An 18,345-nucleotide genomic window follows, 5' to 3' on the forward strand; every position below is an offset into this window, starting at 1 on the left:
CCAGGATGGTCTCGATCTCCTGACCTTGTGATCCACCCGCCTCGGCCTCCCAAAGTGCTGGGATTACAGGCAAGAGCCACCGCACCTGGCCTCTTTTTTTTTTTTTTTTTTTTGAGGGGCAGAGACAAGGAGGAAGATCAGACAATTTCTCAGAGTTGGAATTGTGTTCTGGGTATTGTTTTTCTCCTTTATGGAGATAATCCAGGGAGAAACATGAAGTGTAATGGAAAGAATTTGAGGCCCAACCTTCTTGATGATGCATCTTCATGGAGCTGGGAGACCTTCGTGCCAGGGTCGACTCTGCTGCTTATTAGCTCAGGCTCGGTGCCCCACGGCTTGGTCCTGGTTTTCTGAATCGTCAGATGCACCTGGATCAGCATGTCTTGCATAATAGGGTTGCTTTGAGGATCCAGGGAGGTGGTGGCTATGGCAGGGCTTGGACAAATTACATGTATGGGGGAGTAGCCCCTTCACCCCAGTTTTGCTCCTGACCGTTGAAGCTTTTTATATTGACCCGTGGCTACTGTGGTATTCGAAGGGCTAAATTTGTTTTGTGACTTTTGCCTTCAGCAGCCATCGCATTACATCATCTACCTTTTCTTGTGTTCTTCTGTCGTCGAGAATCAATTAAAATGGTCAGCATTGCTATGAAATGGTTTATTTTTTTGTGGATGTTTTAGAGCTCCTCCTCTCCATCTCCTGAATTTCTTTTCTTGCTAAGCCTATTCAGCTCTGTTTTTTAGAGAGTTCTTTTCCCTCCTGCTCTATGAAAACGTATTTTCCATGTTAAAAAAGGAAGATCCATGTTGCTGTACTTAATGCTTCATGTTTTAGAATGTTAGTGCCAGCAGAAAGCACCAGGAGACACCCGATGTGCCCCCACCTTGGTGAGCACCTTTCCCCCCAGGCACAGTCCCTGCTTACGGGAGATTTGAGGCATTTGATCATTTTTTCCCGTTAGCTTACAGCACAAAGTACTTTGAAATAAAGATTGGCTCGCAGGGCAGGTTGAAGCTTCAACACCAAAATCTCTCTGTTCCTTGTGGGTGGATGGGAGCCTGACACCTGATTACAAGCTCCAGGTGAAGAGCAGGTTTGAGACTTACACCTTGTTTATTGCAATCTTTCTTTCATTTTGCAGGCGGTGGGGGTGGGGGAATGAAAGCCCAGAAAGGGATGTGGCACTCGGGCAGGACGGGGGCTGCTTCTGTGCCTTTTCCCCACTGTGCGTATTCTTAGCTGCGCAAGTGTCGTGCATGTGCGTTTGGCTCACACCCAGCGGGAGTGCCCTTCTTGTGAAGGAAGCTCGTTCTCTACCGAAAAGCTCACTTTTCAGAGAAGAGCTGGAGAAGGCCTGTTGTCCATCTTAGTCCTGAAATATGAGTTTTCATTCCATGGCAAGTCCTTTTAATGAAAGATGGACTGGAGAAGCTGATGCATAGAAAAGAAATAGGTTCTTTTATGTAGAGGGGGAAAGTGTCCACTCTGCGGTATTTCCTGGGTCCTGTGGCTTGTAGGCATTTGAACTGTTTTGTCTTGGTTCTGAGAGAGTCAGATGATTCAGAAGCTGTGTTCTGCTGAACATTCCTGCCTTCTTGACAGAAATCCCCTATTTTTGTGGTCCCCCTGGCAGGTAAAGGTGGCCCCTACTGACTTGTAGGATTTCTGTCCATGATTGTGTCTGAAATGTCATTTTTTCTGGTTGTTTTCCCTCTTCATGTATTAGCTTGGCTCTTTCTTCTCCTCTTTGTCTTTAAGGTAATTTGCAAAGGTCACACTATTCTTGCTTCTTCTTAGAAATGTCATAAGGGATTTTCAAAGAAAGAAAATTTCTGAGTAAGAGTATCTCCCTCCCCTCCCCTCCCCTCCCTCCACTCCTCTCCCCTCTTTTCCCCTTCCCACTTCCTCCTTTCCTTTCTTTCTCTCGCTCTCTCTCTTTCTCATTTATGTTAGCTTACATGAGTATACTGACTCTAAAAATTTTTGATTCTACTACTGCACTCCAGCATGGGTAATAGAGCAAGACCCTGTCTCAAAAAAATAAATAAATAAAAATAAAAAATCTTAAAAAAATTTAGATATGATTTGTATACCCTCAGATTCACTCTCTGAAAGTGTATAACTCAGTGCTTTTTAGTATATTCACAGAATTGTGGAAGCATCACTACCATCTAATATCAGAACATTCTTACCACCCCAAAAAGAAACCCTACCAATTATCAGCTGCTCCCCATTCCCCACCTCTCCCCTTGCACCCCTAGCCCATGGCAACCACTACATTTCTATAGCGTTGCCTGTTCTGGACATTTCATATAAATGGAATAATACAATATGTGGCCTTTTATAGCTGGCTTCTTTCCCTTAGCATAATGTTTTCAAGGTTTATCCAAGTTGTAATATGTATCAATACTTCATGACTTTTTATGGTCGAATAATATTACATTTATGAGTAGACCACATTTTGTTTGCCCATTCATCGATGGATGGCATTTGGGTTGTGTCCACTGTTTTGGCTATTGTGCATGAATAATGTACATTTGTGGGCAAGCATTTGCGTGGGCGTGTGTTTTCTGTTCTCTTGGGTATATACCGAGGAGTGGAATTGTGGGGTCATGTGGTCATTCTATGTTTAATTTTTTTTTTGGCCATGTTACTGGCAAATATATTTAACTTTCTGAGCAACAGTCAGACTGTTTCCCAAAGTGGTTGTGCTATTTTACACTCCCACCAGCAGTGTGGGAGGGCCCCGGTTTCTTCGCATCCTTGCCAACACTTGCTATTGTCTGTCGTTTTGATTATAGCCATGCGAGTGGGTGTTAGGTGCTGTGTCATTGTGGCTTTAATTTTAGGCTTTATTTTGAGGCCCGTGTACTCATTCACTGACCCCTAGTCACATTTATCTTGACCTGTGATGTGAGAACTTGGTTTGGGTGTGTTTTCCCTACTCTGCACTGGCTCATCTGGTGTGGCAAGTGCAAAGATGTTTGCAGAGATGAGAATGAGTACCTGCAACCAGGGGTCCCCAGAAAGGCAGCCCTCTTAGCTCTCCCCACTGAGGACCCTTGAGCCCTCCCTCTAGGGCTCACCATTTGTGGCTGGCTGGAATGGCTACCTCCATTCCCTTGAGCCTGGCACCGCTCCTCGAGATTTGCTCTGATCTCACCGCATGGCTGAGAGTAAATCCTGTTTTGCTCCCTTTTGTGAGCCTTCTTCTTTCTGCTTCCTGATGGGGTGGGCAGATAGGTGGTTCCATGCTGGGGAGGGAACTTGGCAGAGGCCCTGTTAGCCTCTTCCTCCAGTGTCACCCTTCTGACAGCACACAGCCTGCGGGGTCCAGGCACTCTCAGCCATGATATGGACCATCTCCAGGGCCAGTCCATTCCTGCCGCTGATGGAGATTCCCTCCTGATCTCCAGAGGGCAGAGGAATCAGAATAGTTTCCTTCTACATTTGTAGTTTGCAGGAACCATTGCTCACAGCTGCTCCCTCCTTGGATGCTATACCCTCACTCTGTAAGATAGGGTGGGAAATGTCGCCTACTTTACCCATGAGAGCATCGCAGAAGGGAGAGGCTGAGGGACTTACCCAACTAGTATGAGGCTGAATGAGGACTCAGATGATGGTCATCTGGCTCCGGGGCCAGCACTTAATCCTGCTGGGTATGTTCCTGGGCCCTCTCTTTTTTTGTTTTTGTTTTTGTTTTTTTTTGTTTTGAGACAGAGTCTCGCTCTGTCCCCCAGGCTGGAGTGCGGTGGCGCCATCTCAGCTCACTGCAAGCTCCGCCTCCTGGGTTCACGCCATTCTCCTGCCTCAGCCTCCCAAGTAGCTGGGACTACAGGTGCCCGCCAACATGCCCGGCTAATTTTTTGTATTTTTAGTAGAGATGGGGTTTCACCGTTTTAGCCAGGATGGTCTCCATCTCCTGACCTTGTGATCCGCCCGTCTTGGCCTCCCAAAGTGCTGGGATTATAGGCGTGAGCCACAGCGCCTGGGCCCTCTCTTATAGGAACTTCAGGTGCTAATGTTGCAGGATTTAGGAGGACGAGAGAGACCTTGGGTTGAAACAGGAGAATTTTTACTGAGTGTACTCAGGCCCAGCTGACTTACGTTTAAAAGACTGGGCCTGGAACAAAGACAGTACTTGACATTTATATATATTTTATAAAAGGGGGTGGGCTAGCTTGAAATAAGCTCATAGTGGTGCGAAAGCAGGGATATTGAGGCAGGACAAAGACAGGATTGTATATGACTGTTGCCAAGCAACCTAGATGTTTGTTATTTAGGTTTGCCTGGGCAAAGGCTTATTTTATAACCTTTATTATGGTGCCCAGGCAGCTGTAGTTTAGGCTTATTTAGGCTTTTTATGACTTTTGTTGTATTTTTTAGATAAAACAGAATACTTGAAGTTACTAGTTATAGAGAACAGGAATTTATAAATTTTATAAAACAAAGGAAATTTTTTTTTTTTTTTTTTTTTATGTTGAGGGAGTGCTGCGAGAGTTTTTAGGAGCGTATTAGATAATATTATTAAGACTTTTTTGGGTCTGGGCCATGCCTTTGCTGCCTTTGGGACAAGTTAGCTTAATACAGGAAAACTTATTTTTTTTTAATTTTATATAAAAATTCTCCTGTTTCAACCCGAGATCTCTCTCGTCCTCCTAAATCCCGCAACACTAAGTGTGGTTCCCTTAAGTGCACTGGATTCAAGGTGACTTTGTCCTTGCTTTTGGATGTTTTGGATGTAACAGCGATGAGATGGCCCCTCCCAGAGCTGAGAATGGAGAGTATTATGCTAGACACCTGAGGCTGCAGTGATGTGGGCTGATGGAGGGGTGTCAAGGAGAAAGCATGTGGTCACCTTCATGGCACCATCACAGCCTTTGGTTTGTTTAAACAAAGTGAATTAGTGTTGTGGTTTCTGCTGCTAAGAAAACCCTGTTCGTTTATTCATTCACCTATTCATTCCTTCATCCGTTCATTTATTCATTTATTCATCCATTCATCCATTCAGCTGACATTTATTGGCCATCTGGCAGGTGCTGATCTGGGCATTAGAAGTACAGATAAGGTCCTCTTTGCAAAAAACTTCTTGTCTATTGGGAAGACCTACAAAGAAAAGATGAAAATGAAATGTGAAGATTGCTGTACTAAGGTTCCAGTGGAACAGAGAAGAGAAATCTTTAAAATCTGCCTGGGAGAGCCAAGAGAGGCTTCAGCCAATAGGTCCTATGTGAGCTGACCCTTGAAAGCCGGCTCAAATTTTACCCTGGGGTGGATTTCACCCATGGGGTGGGCAGGAGAAGGGAGTGTCCACCCAAGAGAGAGATGTGTGCAGAAGAATTTGGTAGATGAGTCTGGTGTATTTTAGAATTTAGACTCCGGATTTGACCATAGGATGTTTGAGTTCTATCTTCATGGCTTGCTAGCTGGGCAAGTGACTTTTCATTTCTCGGAGCCACAGTTTTCTTTCTTCTTTATTTATTTGTTTTTATTTTTATTATTTTTTTTGAGACAGGGTCTCGCTCTATCTCCCAGGCTGGAGTGCAGTGGCCCGATCTTGGCTCACTACAACCTCCACCTCCCGGGTTCAAGCGATTCTCCTGCCTCAGCCTTCTGAGTAGCTGAGACTACAGGTGTCCACCACCACACCCGGCTAATTTTTGTATTTTTAGTAGAGACGGGGTTTCACCATATTGGCCAGGCTGGTCTCGAACTCCTGACCTTGTGATCTGCCTGCCTTGGCCTCCCAGAGTGCTGGGATTACAGGCGTGAGCCACCGCGCCCGGCTCTTTCTTCTTTATTTTATAGTGGTAGCATACATAACACAAATTTTACCACTCGAACTATTATTAAGTGGGCAGTTCAGTGGCATTGTGTATTCGCATTGTTGTACAGTCATCACCGTGGTCCACTTCCAGAACTTTATCATCATCCCTAACTGATCATCATCCCTAAACTGTTGCCATTAAACACTAACTCCCCATTCCCACCTTTCTCTAGCCCCTGGTGGCCCCTATTCTATTATAGTTGTTTCTATGGATTTGACTGTTCTAGGAACCTCATGTAAATATATATGCTTATGACATTGCAGAATGGCCCCAAGTTCACCTATGTGATAGCCTGTGTCAGAATTTCCTTTTTTTTATGGATAATATTTCATCGTATATATAGACCATATTCTGTTTATCCATTCATCCATTGATTGATAGATACATGGGCTGCTTCCACCTTTTGGCTATTGTAAATAATGCTGCTATGAACATGAGTGTGCAAATATCTATTCAAGTCCCTGCCTTCAACTCTTGGGTGTGTGCCCGTAAATGGAATTGCCGCATCATACGGTAATTCTGCACCACAGTTTTCTGATTTGTCATATAATTTCAGGGTTACTGTGCAGCTTAAATTTGATTGAAGGTACAAAGTACTGAGCATTGCCTGGCACATAATCAGTATTAAGTCCCATCCTGAAGGGCCCCTTCTAGCCTCTCCTGAAAAGTGAACCCTTTAAAGCAAAAGGACTTTTAACTATTTGGATGAAAAAATACCTCTTCAAATGTAGTTTATGGTTCTTAAATGGAGGTCCTTTTTGGCACTTTTGTGGAGTTTGGGTGAGGAGTCAGATGGCCACATTTGCATAGTGAGGTGTGATTGGGTCCTGGAATGTCATGCCAGGGAGCAGGTGAAAGCCAATGAGTATTCTGCCAGGTCCAAAGGCCCAGTGGCCAGTTTCCATCTGGATGGGCCTGGAAGGCTTCCTGGAGGAGGGGGTAGTGGCCCCAGCTGGGGAAAGAGGAGGTAAAGGAATGGGTGAGAACCTGCCTGCCTCATCTTGAGAGAGGCTGAGGAAGCACAGAGCTGGGAAGGTAGCCACTGGTCTCCATGGCCACTATGCTTTGAACATACCTTTGCTGCAGGGCCGATGAAAAGTTGGACGTTAGCTATCTTCATCTCAACCTACTCCCTGTCAAGTCTTGCTTTTTTTTTTTTTGAGACAAGAGTCTTGCTCTGTCACGTAGGCTGGAGTGCATTGGTGCTATCTCGGCTCACTGCAACCTCCACCTCTCCTCCTCCGGGGTTCAAGTGATTCTCCTGCCTCAGCCTCCCAAGTAGCTGGGATTGCAGGCACATGCCACCACACCTGGCTAATTTTTGCATTTTTTTTTAGTAGAGACGGGGTTTCACCATGTTGGCCAGGCTGGTCTCCTGACCTCAAGTTATTCACCCACCTCGGCCTCCCAAAGTGCTGGGATTACAGGCTTGAGCCACTGTGCCTGGCCACGTCTTGCATTTACCATGGGAAATTGTTAGCGTGGTCATCATTTGGTCTGCTTTAGTAGAGAGTATCTTTTATGTTTCTCAAAGGCGTTATGTTCTGCATTGTAAATGTGCGGAAATCAGTCACCCAGTCACCTGAACTTCCATTTAACATCAGGTCCCTGGCCATGGGACTTGGGCAGGAGCACCAGGGCTGGCCCATCAAGTACCTCAATATATTGCTCCCTGATGAGGGAGGGGCCAGAATACATGTTATCACTACTGTTTAACATGGTTCCGGATATGTTAGCCAGTGTAATAAGATACGAAAAATAAGAAGTAATAATAATGGGGAGAAAATATAAGATTATTACTATTTTTTTTTATTGCCCAGGCTGGAGTGCAGTGGTGTGAACTCGGCTCACTGCAACCTCCAGCTCCCGGGTTCAAGTGATTCTCTTGCCTCAGCCTCTCAAGTAGAGTAGCCAGGATTACATGCACCCACTACCACACCCAGCTAATTTTTATATTTTTAGTAGAGATGGGATTTCACCATGTTGGCCAGGCTGGTCTTGAAATCCTGACCTCAAGTGCCTGCCTCAGCCTCCCTAAGTGATTATTACTATTTTTAGATGGTTTACTTTAGCCATTCAAAGGAATTAAATGAAGAAATATTTGATCTAAGAAGAAAGTTTATGAAGATGACTGACTTAAAAATAATGTATTAAAAATTAATAGCTTCCCTGTATGTCATAAATAACCAATCAGAAAACATAATTTAAAAAATCCATACACAATAGCAACATAAAATATAAAATTACTAGGAATTATAAGAATACATTCTTATATATGGAATCCAAGAAGAGTCTTAAATAAATTAAAAGAAATGCTATGTTAGTGAACAGAAAAACCCAATACTGTAAAGAAGTGTATACTTTAGATTAATTTTAAAATTGAAAACCTCAAAAGGTGGTTGAGTTTTTGTTTTGTTTTCCATTTGACCAAATGATTCTTAAGTACAGGTGAAAGATTAAACAGGTGATAAGAACCAAAAAATATTCAAAAAGGTCATAATGAATAAGGCTGGGAGACCACTACTGGCTAGATATTAAAACAAACTGTAAAAATATAATAATTAAAGCTGTGTGGTACTAGCTCCAGAAGAGACAGCTATATAAGCAGGTTAAAGTAGAAAATCTGCAAATGTGACTAACTGTATCTAGGTATTTAGTATATAAAAAAGGCTACATTTCACACTCATGGTAAAATTGTAAAATATTCATAGTATTATATTAGAAGTTAACTATTTTGAAAACCAAAGTAAACATCTTACCTTAGTTCGTATACCAAAATATATCCCAGATGGATTAAAGAATTACATTTAAACAGTAAAGTCAGAAGAGACCAGAAGAAAATACAGATGAAAAGCCATATAATTTAGATATTTCAGCAAAGGCAGAAATCAGAAAAGATGGAGATGCTTGACTACATAGTAATTAAAAACATTACTAACAGTTTAATAATAAAAGGATAACGAAGTAGGACATTCGACTTGCAATATATGATAAAGGGTTGATGCATTTAAAATATGAAATTTTAACATTTTAATAAAAAAAGCATGCTTTAATAGAAAAGGTAAATGGTATGAGCAAGGTATTCACAAAAAGGAAATAATTCCACCATTGAACTATAAAAAATATTCAACTGAATGAGTAATAAAAGAAATACAAATTGAAGTTTCACTGAGCTAAGTTTTTATCTACTAAACTTTCAAATATTAAAAGGGGTTAAGTAAGCTGAAAAAAATGAAACTATGTTGGAGGATTCACTTTTATCTGTTTTATTTAATTTCTTTTATATAAATAATACTTCAGGCAAATATGATAAACTTAATAAATGTCAATTCTGAGGGGGGAAGAATAAAGGAGTTAAATAAGTAGAAGTTGTAATACCCAGTGTTGGCTAGGTTGTGGTTAAATGAACACTCAAACTGCGGATAGGTATTTACATTGGCATGGCCCTTTCTGGAGGGTAATAAGACAGACAGTATCTAACAAGAGCTGTAAAAATGTGTAAACAAAAAAATTCATACGCCTTGACCTAGAGTAATCTATATGTAAACATTTAGCTCTAAGGATGTTCATTGTAGCATTATTTATAATGAGGAAAACAGGAAATGAGCTGAATGATGAAAATTGGTGACTGGTATAGTAAATTAAGGCCATCCCTAGAAAATAGTAGTATATAGTCATTAAAATTTATTTTGGGGGCCGGGTGGTGCCTCACGCCTGTTATCCCAGCACTTTGGGAGGCTGAGGTGGGTGAATTGCCTGACATCAGGAGTTCGAGACCAGCCTGGCCAATATGGTGAAACCCCATCTCTACTAAAAATACAAAAATTAACCGGGCATGGTTGCACGCCTGTAGTTCCAGCTACTTGGGAGGCTGAGGCAGGAGAATCACTTGAACCTGAGAGGTGGAGGTTACAGTGAGCTGAGATTGCGCCACTGCACTGTAGCCTGGGCAACAGAGTGAGACTCTGTCTCAAAAAAAAAAAAAAAATCATTGTGGGGCTGGGCGTGATGGCTCACACCTGTTATCCCAGCACTTTGGGAGGCTGAGATGGAAGGATTGCTTGAGCCCAGAAATTCAAGACCAGCCTGGGAAGCGTAGGGAGACCCTGTCTCTACAAAAAATTTGAAAATTACCTGGACATGGTTTTGTGTGCCTGTAGTCCCAGCTACTTAGGAGGCTGAGGTGGGAGGATTGCTTGAGCCTGGCAGGTTGAGGCTGCAGTGAGCTATGATCCTGCCACGAACTTCACAAAGCAAGACCCTGTGTCAAAAAGAAAAAAAAAAATCGGCTGGGTGTGGTGGCTAATGCCTGTAATCCCCACACTTTGGGAGGCTGAGGTGGGCGGATCACAAGGTCAGGAGATCGAGACCATCCTGGCTAACACGGTGAAACCCTGTCCCTACTAAAAACAAAAAATTAGCCGGGCATAGTGGCACGCACCTGTAGTCCTAGCTACTCAAGAGGCTGAGGCAGGAGAATCGCTTGAACCTGGGAGGCGGAGGTTGCAGTGAGCCTAGATCACGCCACTGCACTCCAACCTGGGTGACAGAGCAAGACTCCATCTCAAAAAAAAAAAAAAAAAAATTGTGGAAAATATTTATTAATATGACCATGTTCACAGTATATTGATGGAAATAAGCAGACCATGATTTCATTATGTCTGATTTGATACTTTTTTAAAAAACAGCTTTTTGAAACATAAAAACATTATGATGCTACTTTTGTAAAAAGTGTATATGTGTATAATAAGTAGATAGGAAAAAGATTGTCTAGACATACATCAACATAGTAATAGTGACTTTTTTTGGATGATTGGATGAGTCATGGAAGATTTTATTTTTTTTCTCCATTCTTTCTGGTGTTCCAGGGTTTTGGCATTGAAGTACTTTTGTACTTAGAGGAGTTTTATAAAAAACAAAAGTTCCCTTTGAGGGATACTTTGCATCTGGACTGTTATCTCTTACCCACATCATTCTTGAGGACGAAGAGAAAATACCTGTGAGGAAGTATTTACATTTGTTACGGTGGTGCTGGGCTGAGTTTGTGTGGACCCTGGACTCCCAGCTGTCCACACAGTTATAAAGAGTAATTAAAAGCTCCCTGAACAACAGGTCCCTTATCAGCCTTAAACCTTATTGTTCAGATACATTGGCTTTTATTCATAGTCTTACTAATCAACTGGGGACAAAAAAGACCCATTGAACCATTAGCCCTCAGCCCGAGATGAGAAGCGCATGATGGTACAATGGCCGTGGTTCAGACTCAGATGTTATGCTATGTTTTGAATTCAGTCCAGGTTCCTAGGAGGAAAACACCCATCAAATTATGTTGGCTTTAGAGCGATCTCAGTCAACAGATGACATCACCGACTTTTCCTTCCCTGCTGGTCTTTATTTGGAGGGGATGCAAGAATTGTGCAACCTTGGAATAAACAGAATAGAGACCCGACTCCTCACTCATTGTGTTTCTGAGTTTAGTTTCAATCCAACAGCGGATCTGTTTTTTTACTCCATGTAATGGGACTGTTGCTGCAGCTTTTGTACAAGGGTGGAGTGGGTGTCCATTTGCTGACGAGCACCCTGTGTACACGCTAGTTTTTATTTGAACGAGGTGCTCTTGTCTTTATTATGTATTGTCTGCCCATAAATGATGTCTTGAAATAGAGGGGTGAGCATCACCTCATTTATTTCAACCCATATTTGTACAGAAGGATTTTTGTAATCAAATCATGGGGTTTGTGTGTAGAACTCAGTAAGAAGTAATCATGACCCTGTCCGTTCATTTGCTCTTTGTTCTTTCCTGTTATTAACAATGGCTTTGGGGCTTTTGGGGCGCATTTAGTTCTGCACGTTGTGTATGTAAGTAGATGTTCTTCTGTGGGGGCTGCAAGTCCTTAAGTTATAGTTGGATTCCCTTCCCAGCAAGGAACCAACAGGAAGGAAAACGAAGTCAAACCCAGTCTTTGCACGTGGAAGCTTGTGGCGTGACTGTTATTTTTTTGTGATGTTCTGTACAGCCCTGTAATCTCTTATTTTTGGCAAGCCAACTCTGAATCTGTGGTCCCGTAGCCCCAGGCAACCAAAAGCTGAGACAAACAGAGGAAGTGTCGTTATTCACATGTTTCTCTGGCCACCTCATCGGGCTGGACGCTGCCGGCTGCCACCCGTCGCTGAGCTGGAGCTCCCCAGAGTGCAGCCTGGCCAGGCAGGGACTGTTGACCCTGGCCCCTGTAGGAAGCACCTCTGGCTTGTCCCCCAGCCCCCAGGGTCCCTGCCACTCATTACTTCTCTGCACTCTTTCTGTAATTTGTTCATCGCCTGGAATTTATTTCTGGCAGACTTTGTGGTCAAAACTGGGAAGTGTCTGTTTCCTTAAAACAGCCTTTCCTCAAACCCAGGAAGTGAAGTAGGGAGCTATCCTTCCTCACCTCCTCCCTGTCACATGCACATGGGCATACACACACGTACACACTCACCCATGTGCACACACACAGGCACACACATGAGAAAGGGACGGGGAAAGCTAGGGTGTCCACCCCAGCCTGGGCTCCTGGTATCCCTAAGGGTTTTGGAAGAAGAGTTTCAGTTTTTCAAAGCCTGCTGGAGATGTAACTGTCGTGATGTTTCGTGGGATCTGCAAGAGCCTGTAGCGTCAGGTTTCTTTCCTTTTGATTGGGATGACATGAAGTCTGTTAATGCGGGATCGTTTGTGTTATCTGCTCTGATAGGTGGTTTTACTTGCATTTGATTTTTGATAGAATGAGAGATGAATTGATTTGTTCCTGATACATTCTGTTGGGATACAGTCCATTTGATAGGAAGGTTGTTTACATCACAGTGTCCTGTATTTGGGGGCTGCCCTGGGATGTGAAAAGTCTGTTTATGTCTGTTGACAGAGGGTCTCTATGCTTCTTCCTTTTCTAGCATTTACTCTTATGTTACAATTAGTGCCTGCTTGCTGTGTGAACAGGACAGATTTGTCTTGTTTGTTTGGGTCGTATGCAGTTTCATGCAGAAGACTTAGCTAGATGAGTGACTCAAAGTTCCATGCCTGGGGCCCTCCACCCTCCTTCCCTCAATCACGCCTTTATCCAGTCCCTTCCCACGCCCTGTTCCTCATTGGAATCCTCTGTCCTAGCCTATCCCCCCTGCTCTCCCCTGGCATAGAAGGGTGCATCTCGTCTCCCCACAACAGCACTGGAAGGTGCTAGAACACTTGGAGAAAACTAGTTCTGTACCAGGGATTATGTTCAGCAGGTTTATCTCCTCAAGGCACCCCTAAAGTATGTTTTTACTATTTAACACACGATTTTGTAGGCCCTACTGTTGTTAGCTGTTCGTAGATACTATTTCAGAACAATGCTGTGAGTAGATACTATTATTAGGTCCATTTCACAGATAAGAAACCTGAGGCCCTGACAGGGTAAGGAGTCCTAAGGTTCTGTAGCTAGCCATGGTAGAGCTGGGGTGTAAACTCAGGCTTTCTGACTCCAAAGTTCATATTTTTAATCCCTATACAGTGAAGTAGGCACTGTTGCCATTTCTATTTTGCAGATGGGGAAACTGAGGCACTGAGGAGTTAAGTACTTTGCCCAGGGTCCTAGAACTAGTCAGTGGTAGAGCCAGGATTCTACCCAGACAGGTGAGCTCTGGAGCCAAAGCCCTGAGCATCTGTAGTAGATTCCTTGTGGCTTTCTGTCCTGTCCTTGTTCCGAGAAAGTTCCCAGGGGACAGTTACGGAATCACTGGGTGCTTGCTGTTCTCACACGCACAGTTTCTACTGGCTCTCTAGCATTTCTTTCATTAGTGAGAGAATGTTTCAGCCCAGCTTTTCAGATGGTGGAGTTGAGGCCCCCTTGTCTGAGCTGGGTATTTGAGAGCCAGCAGGCTTGAGGGCCTGTGAGGTCTCTGGAGGACACGGTGGTGGTGGGGCCAGGAGAAGTCACTTCTTGGGACTTTGGAAAGCCTAGAGGAATTCCAGAAATGAAACACCACACACTTACTGGAAGCCAAGTTCGTGTTTCTCCCACTGGTGGAAGGGATATGAGGTGCTGTAAACGTGGCCTTTTTTCAGATGCAGAATGCCTGTCTAATTACAGGAAACAGAGATGTCGCCCCACACTGAGCCAAGGATTTCAACATCTCTTGGAGAAATTCTGCATGGACCTGAAGTTTGAAGCTTTGCATTGTAACCAAGTTGGCTCTCCTTGCCTTCCCCCCAGGCCACGATTTCGTCATCCTGCTTTACGGATGGCATTTCCTATTAAGTGTCTGTCTGTGAACATAAACATGGAGCTGAGACAAAGCACAGCTTCTCCCTGGACCCGGAAAGAGGGACTCAGGCGCCTGGGGCTGGGGCCTGGCTCCAGACCTGCTGCTGCTGCCTGGCCTGGTTCGGGGATGCCTAGCCTAACAAGGCAGCCTGGGCTGGGAATCGCTTAGGCCTCAGGTTGATGAAGCTGGGAGAAGGGTTGAGAGGGCACCAGACCTAAGATGGTGGCCAGAGCCATTTAATCATGTGGTTGTAAAATTGTCAGTAACTTCTTTGTATGGCTAGTTGATCTGATCTCTCATGTAGGACTCAGTCCCCCAGTTGGATCTTGGAAGGTAGACATTTATTTGAAACAGACAGCCTGGTAGAGTGAAAAGAGCTTTGTGTTTTACCCCCTCAGATAGTAAGCAAAGAAAATGGAAAAAGCAGCGCTGTCTGGGGTGACATCCTGATGCATTGCTGGTGACAGAGTGAAGAGGTGACACATTTGGAACATAATGTGGCCATCTGTATGAAGAACCATAGTTCATCCAGTCATCCCAACCCTAGGACTCTCCAGAGAAAACCGTTTAAAATAGGGGGAAAGTTATTTGCATGAATATGTTCATAAGAACATTATGTATAATAGAGGAAATTTGGAAGAAACCTATAGGTTCTTCCACAGGGAAATTGTTAAGGAAATGATGGTAGATTCTCCGCAAGAATGGCTCCCATTAAAAATTGAATTAGTAAGACTCTAAGATAATGTGGTATTAAGAAAAAAACTCCATGATTAAAAATGAGCATGGGCCAGGTGTGGTGGCTCACGCCTGTAATCCCAGCACTTTGGGAGGCCGAGGCGGGTGGATCACTTGAGCTCATTATCTGATGCCCTGAATTGGCTTTTTCTCATGCACATTAGGTTAAGGTCAGTAGTTACTCACTTAAGTTACCCATTGCATGTGTTTCCAGTGACAGAAAAGGATTTAGGGATGGATCGTTGAGGTGACTGCTATGCATAGAAATGCCTAGAAGGAGGCGGTGGTTTAAGCTGTAGAAGGAGGCAGGTGCCAAGTGCTCCCAGTTTGGGGTTTGAGCTCCCACATTCTGTCTGCACAGCAGCAGGCAAGTCCCGTGGCCTCCAGGCTCTGCATCTGTGATGTAAGATCGTAAACCTGTCCTGCCTACCTTGTTTGAGCATCAGATGAGATAAGGTACGTGATAACACTTTGTGAATCACTTAAAAACACTATGTCTATGTGAGGTTGATATTATTGCTATTCAATAAATGCAAACGTGTAGGAAATTATAAAATGATTCAACTGTTCCATTCCTGTTTTTGAAACTTTCTGAAGAGAGGTGGATATGTTTCCCTGAGGTGGGGAGCTAGGGTTGTGCCTGTGTTCATCCAGGAAAATGGGATGAAAAGCCCAAGATACATCTGCGACATCATCTTCAGAATGTGAAATTACAGTGGGTTTGGAATCTGGGCCTTCTCTCTGCCTGCTCCCTGCCTCTCCTTCCCTACCCACAGTCTCCAGCTCTGACTCCTGGCCTCCCAGGGTCCTCTCCCAGCAGCCTGGAAGGAAGGGACATCCTCATTCCAGGGCCCAGGCCATGAGGAAGGAAGCAGTGGGCAGGGATGCAGGCTGCAGGTGTGGGCAGCTCCAGGTGCCCACTCTAGGCTTCAGGATGAGTGGCTCCCTTCCTGCAGTGGGTGCCCATCCTGGCAGGTACAGTCACCAGAGAGGCCCGCCTGCTTCAGCTGCATACCATGGGGTTTTTCCTGAGACTAAAGAGGGTCCTGCTCCTTATATCCATTGACCAGTGAGTGATGAGGAAGACTGAATGCTGACGGACGGGAGGAAGGAAGTCAGGAGAAAGGGAGAAGGGCTGGCCAGGAAGGAGGAGAGAGGAAATGACAGAGGAGAGGGAGAGATCAGGAGCCCCATGCCTGCCAGCCAGGGAAGGCCCTGCTGTTGCACTCTTCAGAACCCCAACTTGGGACATTTTGAATAGATGTTAGGAGTGTGAGTGGAATCTAATGAGTGGGACAGACCTCCCAAGTGAGCATTGAATATGAGGGCGGGTGGGGCATGGTAGCTCATGCCTATAACCCCAGCACTTTGGGAGGCCAAGGTAGGAGGATCATTTGAGCCCAGGAGTTTGAGACCTGCCTGGGCAACATGGGAGACACTTTCTCTACAAAAAATTAAAAATTAACTGGGCATGGTGGCACGTGCCTGTGGTCCCAGCTACTCGGGAGGTTGAGGTGGGAGGATCGCTTGAGTCCTGGAAATCAAGGCTGCGGTCAGCCAGATTGCACCACAGCATTCCGGCTTGGGTGACAGAACCAGACCCTGTCTCAAAAAAATAAATAAAAGATAAAAAATAAAGAAAATGAGGGTGGAGGAAGAAGAGCCAGCGGAAGATTCTTCTGAGACATGGGAAGTAAATTTGCAAGATTGCTGTCTGGGAGCTGGACAGACAGGAAGGGAACAGAACTGGGATGTGGCAGGGACAGGTTCCAGGCACTGGCAGGATGGGGGCCAGTGTGCAGTGGGCCAAGAGGGAATGGGAGCGAGAAGGTGGGGCGTCAGCAACATTCAGCTCCCTCCATAGCTCGATGAGAAGAGAGGGGTGGGGACAGGCGGTAGCTGGAGGGTCCTTCAGGATCATTTTATCCGTATCCCTTTCGTATCTTTTAGTGAGTTTTTGTTTTCCCTAACTGGATTGTTGGCATTTTAAGGGCACAGTTTGTATCTTCTACCTCTTTGTTTCCTCCAAAGTTGGCCGATCACCAGATCACTTAAAGGAGGTTGTTTGTTTTATAAGCGTTTTACCAGATCTTGGCTTAACACTTCCCCCAGAGTTAGTCATAATCATTCTAGCAGGGCTTCTAGATGCTGAACAATGACCGATGGTGCCACTTGATTTATATGAAGATACTGGTTTAGTTTTAAAAGCAAACTTACATTGAACAAAGTGTAGGAAAGAGAAAGGAGAGGGCTACTCAAGTGCCTGAAGGTCCGAGCAGTGAAGAACATGTTTCCATATGCCTGCCACCCTTAGGCTAAGGACACGGTTTTCCTATCTGTTTATTGAATTGGGTCACTTGCTTTAGTTATAATATATGAAGGGATAAGACTGAATTTCACTTCTCAATTAACTAGCCCTCTTGCTCTCTTTTGATCACACGTTCTGGGGTCAGATTCCAGCTCTGCCAGTCAGTGGCTGCACTGGCCAAGGCCACGTGGTTGACCACCATCCAGAGTTCTGCCAAGAGCCTTACCTGCCAGAGGCACGGGAGGTGTGGCTGTTGCGCAGCTTCTGTGGCCCAGGCCCTCTGCCTGGCACATTTTAAGTAATGTGAGCGGATTACTTAATCTTACTGTCTGTTCAGCTGAAAACTAGGGCCAACCCTGGCTCAGAGCTCAGGGGGCCGTTGCGAGGATTAAATGAGAGAATCCATGGAAGATGTTTAGAGTCGTACCAGACACATAGGAAGTGCTGAATAAATCAGAATGGTTTTTACTATGACTCTCACCTTTCAATGTTTGTGACTTAAACTTATGTTACAGTTAGTCATTTCACTGGCGTGTGCTAACCAAAGGTGGCCTGGCCCCTCCGCATCCATTAGGAGGGCTTGAGTTTAAAATCCAGGCCCTGTGAGTCTGCAGGGAGGACCGACGGGAGAGCTGGGTACTCCTGGGACTTCAGTGTCCAGTGGATGCTGGGGTTCTCAGGTTGGTATATTGAGTCACATAGTTCCATGACTCCCTTGGAGGAAGAGGCTAAAGTTGTCTAGAGGCAGGTGTGATGTTTGGTCTGTCCTGTGTGCACTGAGCACCTTCTGTATACCAGTCCCCCTGCTTGCTTCTTCCAGACAGAAGAAAACACAGATGGCAATTGGTCATATTTGAACAGTGCCTCTTATAGCTTACAAATACCATCTTATTGAACACTCATGAAAAATGCTGGGATGTATGTTATTTTTACTGTTTCAAAGATGAAAAAACTCAGGCACAGACATTCTAAATAGTTCCAGCTCTTAGGAAAATGCTTCTTTAGCATTGCGGGAGAAACAGTATATTTGTACAAGGCAAGTAGTTCACCCTGTAAGGCAGCACGTGCTTTGGAGGCACCTAAATACTACACAGTGTTTTATGCATGGGCGTTTTTCTTACAAAGGAACATAGCTTTATCTTCCTGGGGGTGTTTATCAAACCACATCTATGTAGCAGATGCTCTTCAAGCATTTCCCAT

At 44.5% G+C, this 18,345-nt stretch overlaps 1 protein-coding gene across 3 annotated transcripts in view, besides 1 other annotated feature; it reads left to right on the forward strand.

The window, feature by feature from the left end:
* Nucleotides 1–18,345, forward strand: part of DPYSL2 (dihydropyrimidinase like 2) — a 144,145-nt gene that overhangs the window by 83,652 nt on the left and 42,148 nt on the right. The window lies entirely within an intron of this gene.
* Nucleotides 11,585–11,704: an enhancer, noted in NCBI's record as "active region_27130". NCBI's record gives its function as "activates an Ori minimal core promoter by ATAC-STARR-seq in GM12878 lymphoblastoid cells {active_cell/tissue: GM12878}" and the evidence as "EXISTENCE:reporter gene assay evidence [ECO:0000049][PMID:35858748]".

Source organism: Homo sapiens, chromosome 8, assembly GCF_000001405.40.
Source record: "Homo sapiens chromosome 8, GRCh38.p14 Primary Assembly".
Classification (NCBI taxonomy): domain Eukaryota; kingdom Metazoa; phylum Chordata; class Mammalia; order Primates; family Hominidae; genus Homo; species Homo sapiens.